The sequence below is a fragment of the Homo sapiens genome, chromosome 9 (assembly GCF_000001405.40).
Source record: "Homo sapiens chromosome 9, GRCh38.p14 Primary Assembly".
Lineage (NCBI taxonomy): Eukaryota > Metazoa > Chordata > Mammalia > Primates > Hominidae > Homo > Homo sapiens.
Window position 1 is genome coordinate 67,560,642 of NC_000009.12, and position 6,000 is coordinate 67,566,641.

Below are 6,000 nucleotides of genomic sequence, written 5' to 3' on the forward strand. Positions count from 1 at the left end.
ATAAAAACTTATAGTAGATACGCAAAGCAAAAATAAACAAAGTCAAAAATTGTTACAAGAAATGAATTAAGGTCATTATATATTGATAACTCATAAATTTATCAAGAATATAAAATACTTATAACTGTATAGATACCAAAAATCAGAACTCCAAAATACATGAAACAAACATCGATAGACTTGAAGGAAGAAGTAGATAGTACTACAATAATTGTTGGAGACTTCAATACCCCACTGCATTTGGCAAATTATATGCCCCATATCACTTGAATGTGGCCTGGCCTTGCCAAAGCTCATGTGGAAACTTGTTCCTCCATGTAACAGTGCTAAACGGAGGAGCCCACTGGGAGGTGTTTGGGTCAGTGGGTGTATCTCTCTCTCTCTTGCTTTCTTTTTCACCACGTGATCTCTTTGCACACGCCCACACCCCATCCACTTTCTGCCATGAGTGGAAGCAGCATGAGGGAGGCCCTCACTAGATGCAGCTGCTCAATCTTGAACCTTCAAGTCACCAGAATCATGGGCCAAGTAAACCTCTTCTCTTTATAAATTACCCAGTCACAGGTAGTCTGTTACAGCAACACTAAATGGACTCAAACAGTCACTTTCAATAACAGATAGAACATCTAGACAGAAGATCAATAAAGAAATAGAGGACTTGAAAAACACTGTAAATCAACAAGACCTAACAGACATATAGAAAATACTCCACCGAGGCCAGGCGCGGTGGCTCATGCCTGTAATCCCAGCACTTTGGGAGGCCGAGGCGGGCTGATCACGAGGTCAGGACATCAAGACCATCCTGGCTAACACGGTGAAACCCCGTCTCTACTAAAGAATACAAGAAAAAAATTAGCCAGGTGTGGTGGCGGGCACCTGTAGTCCCAGCTACTTTGGAGTCTGAGGCAGGAGAATGGCGTGAACCCGGGAGGCGGAGCTTGCAGTGAGCCGAGATCTGCGGCACTGCACTCCAGCCTGGGCGACAGAGCAAGACTACGTCTCAAAAAGAAAAAAAAAAGAAAATACTCCACCAAACAATTGCAAAATACACAAAGCACGTGGATCATGTGTCAGGGTAGGCCATAAAACAAGTTTCAATAAATGTAAAAAGATAAAGTTATGTAAATTATCTTCTCTGACAAATACAGAATGAAACTAAAAATCAATAACAGAAGAAAAACTAGAAAATTTACAAATATGTAGAAATTAACACAATTTTAAGCAGCCTATAGGTCAAATAAAAAGTTATAAGGGATATTAGAAAATATTTTGAGCCAAATGAAAATGAAAACATGATATACCCAAATTATGAATGTAGTCAAATCATTGCTCAGGCCAGGTGTGGTGGCTCACGCCTGTAATCCCAGCACTTTGGGAGGCCAAGGCGGGCAGATCACCTGAGGTCAGGAGTTTGAGACCAGCCTGGCCAACATGGTGAAACCCCGCCTCTACTGAAAGTACAAAAATTAGCCAGTTGTGGTGGCAGGTGCCTGTAATCCCAGTTACTTGGGAGGCTGAGGCAGGAGAATCGCTTGAACTTGGGAGGCAGAGGCTGCAGTGAGCCGAGATTGCGCCACTGCACTCCAGCCTGGGTGACAGAGCAAGACTCCGTCTCAAAAAAAAAAAAAAAAATTACAAACTATTTTATGCCAACAAGTTAGATAACCTAGATGAAATTAGCAAATTCCTAGAAACACACAATCTATCAAAATTGACTCGAGAATAGAAAATCTGAATAGACCTATAACAAGTGAAGTAATTCAATCAGTAATTAAAACTTACCACCAACAACAAAAAAGTTCAGGACCAGATAGCTTCTCTGATTAACTCTACCAAACATTTAAAGAGGGATTCACACCTATTGATATAATCGTATAGTTTTTAATTTTGTTTATGTGATGTATCACATTTATTGACTTGTGTATGTTAAACCATCCTTGCATCCCTGATATAAAACCCACTTGTTCATGATGCATTATCTTTTTCATATGCTGTTGGATTCAGTTAGCTAGTATTTTGTTGGGGATTTTTGCATCTATGTTCGGGGATATTGGTTTGTAGTTTGTTTGCTTTGTTATGTCCTCTCCTCCTTTTGGTATTAGGGTGATACTGGCTTCATAGACTGATTTATGGAGGATTCCCTCTTTCTCTATCTTTTGGAATAGTTCCAGTAGGATTGATAACCAGTTCTTCTTTGAATGTCTGATAGATTTCAACTGTTAATCCATCTGGTTCTCGATTCTTTTTTTGTTGGCAGTGTTTTGTTTTGTTTTTTTAATCACTGATCAATCTTGCTGCTTGTTATTGGTCTGTTCAAGGTTTCTATTTCTTCCTGATTTAGTCTAGGAGGGTTGTATATTTCCAGGAGTTTATTCATCTCCTCTAGACTTTCTAGTCTGTGCATGTAAAGGTGTTTATAACATCCTTGAATGATCTTGTGTATTTCTGTGGTATTGGTTGTACTATCTCCAGTTTCATTTCTACTTGAGGTTATATGAATCTTTTCTCTTCTTGGTTAATCTCCCTAATGGTCATCAACTTTGTTTATCATTTCAAAGAACCAGCTTTTCATTTCATTTATCTTTTGTATTTTTTGTTTCAATTTCATTTAGTTCTCTTCCATCTTTGTTATTTCTTTTCTTCTGCTGAGTTTCAGTTTAGTTTGTTCTTGTTTCTCTAGTTCCTTCAGGTATGACATTAGGTTTTCTATTTGTGTTCTTTCAGACTTTTTGACGTAGGCATTTAATGCTATAAACTTTCCTCTTAGCACCAGTTTTGCTGTATCCCAGAAGTTTTGATAAGTTGTGCCATTGTTCTCATTCATTTCAAAGAATTTTTAATTCCTATCTTGATTTCATTGTTAACCACCAAATCATTCAAGAACAGATTATGTAATTTCCATGTATTTATATCATTTTAAGTGTTCTTTCTGGAGTTGCTTTCCAGTTTTATTCCACTATGGTCTGAGAAAATACTTGATATGATTTCAATTTCGTTAAATTTGTTGGGACTTGTTTTGTAACCTATCATAGGTTATCTTGGAGAACGTTCCATGTGCTGATGAAAAAAAATGTATATCCTGCAGTTGTTGGGAAGAATGTTTTGCAATTTTCTGTTAAGTACATTTCTTCTAGGGTATAGTTTAAGTCCATTATTTCTTTGTTGACTTTCTGTCTTGATGACCTGTCTAGTGCTGTCAGTGGAGTATTGAAGTCCCCCACTATATTTGTACTGCTGTTTATCTCATTTCTTAGGTCTAGTAGTAATTGTTTTATAAATTTGGAAGCTCCAGTGCTAGGTGCATATAAATTTAGGATCATAATATCTTCCTGTTTGACTAATCCTTTTATCATTATATATAAATCCAGCATTCCTTTATAATAAAAACCTTCCTCAAAATAAGCATAGAAGGGACATATCTTAAAGTAATAAAAGCCATATATGACAAACCCATATGCAACATCATACTGAATAGGGAAAAGCTGAAAGCATTCCCCCTGAGAACTGGAACAAGACAAGGATGCCCACTTTTACTGCTTCTACTTAACACAGTACTGGAAGTGCTGGCCAGAGCAATCAGACAAGAGAAAGAAATAAAGGGCATCCAAACTGGAAAAGAGGAAGTCAAACTGTTGCTGTTCACTGCTGATATAATTCTATACCTAGAAAACCTTAAAGACTCATCTGAAAAGCTCCTAGACCTAACAAATGAATTCAATAAAGTCTCAGGATACAAAATAAATGTACATAAATCAGTAACACTGCTATACACCAACAGTGACCAAGCTAAGAATCAAATTAAGAATTCAATTCAGCCAGGCATGGTGGCTCATGTCCGCAATCCTCAGCACTTTGGGAGGCTGAGGCAGGTAGATCACCTAAGGTCATGAGTTCGAAACCAGCCTGGCCAACATGGAAAAACCCACTCTTTACTAAAAATACAAAAATTAGCCGGGCACATTGGTGGGCACCTGTAATCCCACCTACTCAGGAGGCTAAGGCAAGAGAATCACTTGAACCTGGGAGGCAGAGGTTGCAGTGAGCTAAGATTGCACCATTGCACTCCAGCCTGGGCGACAGAATGAGACTCCATCTCAAAAAAAAAAAAAAAAAAAAAAAAAAAGAATTCAATCCCTTTTACAACTGCAAAAGTAAAACAAAATACTTACAAATATATTTAACCAAGGAGGTGAAAGATCTCTACAAGGAAAACTACAAAACACTACTGAAAGATTCATAGATGACACAAACAAATGGAAACACATCCCACACTCACAGATGGGTAGAATAAATATTGTGAAAATGACCATACTGTCCAAAGCAATCTACAGATTCAATGCAATTCCCAACAAAATACCGTCATCATTCTTTATAGAACCAGAAAAAGCAATCCTGAAATTCATATGGAACCAAAAAAGAACCTGCATAGCCAAAGCAATACTAAGCAAAAAGAACAAATCTGGAGGCATCACATTACCCAACTTCAAATTATACTACAAGGCTAAAGTCACCAAAACAGCATGGTACTGGTATAAAAGTAGGCACATAGACCAATGGAATAGAACAGAGAACACATAAATAAAGCCAACATACTTACAGCCAACTGATCTTCAACAACACAAACAAAAACATAAATTGGGGAAAGGACACTCTCTTCAATAAGTGGTGCCGGGAAAACTGGGAAGCCACACATAGAAGAATGAAACTGAATCCTCATCTCTCACTTATACAAAAGTCAACTCAAAATAGCTTAAATCTAAGAAAACTTAGACTTAAATCTAAGACCTGAAGCCATAAAAATTTTAGAAGATAACATCAGAAAAAGTCTTCTAGACATTGGCTTAGGCAAAGAATTCTTGACTATGACCCCAAAAGCAATGCAACAAAAACAAAAATAAATACATGACACCTAATTAAACTAAAAAGCTTCTACAAAGTAAAAGAAATAATCAGCAGAGTAAACAGACAACCTACAGATTGGGAGAAAGTATTTGCAAATTATGCATTTGACAAAGGACTGATATCCAAAATCTACAAGAACTCAAACAAATCAACAGTAAAAAATAATAATAGTTCCATGAAAAAGTGGGCAAAGGACATGAATAGACAATTGTCAAAAGAAAATATACAAACATCCAACAAAGTGAAAAAAATGCTCAACATCACTAATTATCAGGGAAATACAAATTAAAACCACAATGAGATATCACCTTTCTCTTGCAAGAATGGCCATAATTAAAAAGTCAAAATACAATAGATGTTGGCGTGGATGTGGTGGAAAGGTAACACATCTACACTGCTGGTAGGAATGTAAACTAGTACAACCACTATGGAAAACAGTATGGAAAAACTAGTTTTCCACTGCGGAAAACACAGATTTTTTTTTTGGTTTTTTATTTTATTTATTTATTTATTTTTTGAGACAGAGTCTTGCTCTGTTGCCCAGGCTAGACTGCAGTGGCACCATGTTGGCTCACTGCAAGCTCCACCTCCCAGGGTTCACGCCATTCTCCTGCCTCAGCCTCCCGAGTAGCTGGGACTACAGGCACCCGCCACCATGCCCGGCTAATTTTTTGTATTTTTTAGTAGAGACAGGGTTTCACCGTGTTAGCCATGATGGTCTTGATCTCCTGACCTCGTGATCTGCCTGCCTAGGCCTCCCAAAGTGCTGGGATTACAGGCGTGAGCCACTGCGCCAGGCCGGAAAACAGTTTTAAAGGATCAAAAGTAGAACTACCATTCGATCCAGCAATCCTGCTATTGGGTAAGTACCCAAAGGGAAATAAGTCACTATATGAAAAAAGATACATGCACACACATGCATGTTGATAGCAGCACAATTTGCAGTTGCAAAGATATGGAATCAACCTAAGTGCCCATCAACCAATGAGTGAATAAAGAAAATGTAGTATATATACACCATGGAATACAACTCAGACATAAAAAGAAATAAAATAATGTCTTTTGCAGCAACTTGGGTGGAGTTGGGGGCCATTATTT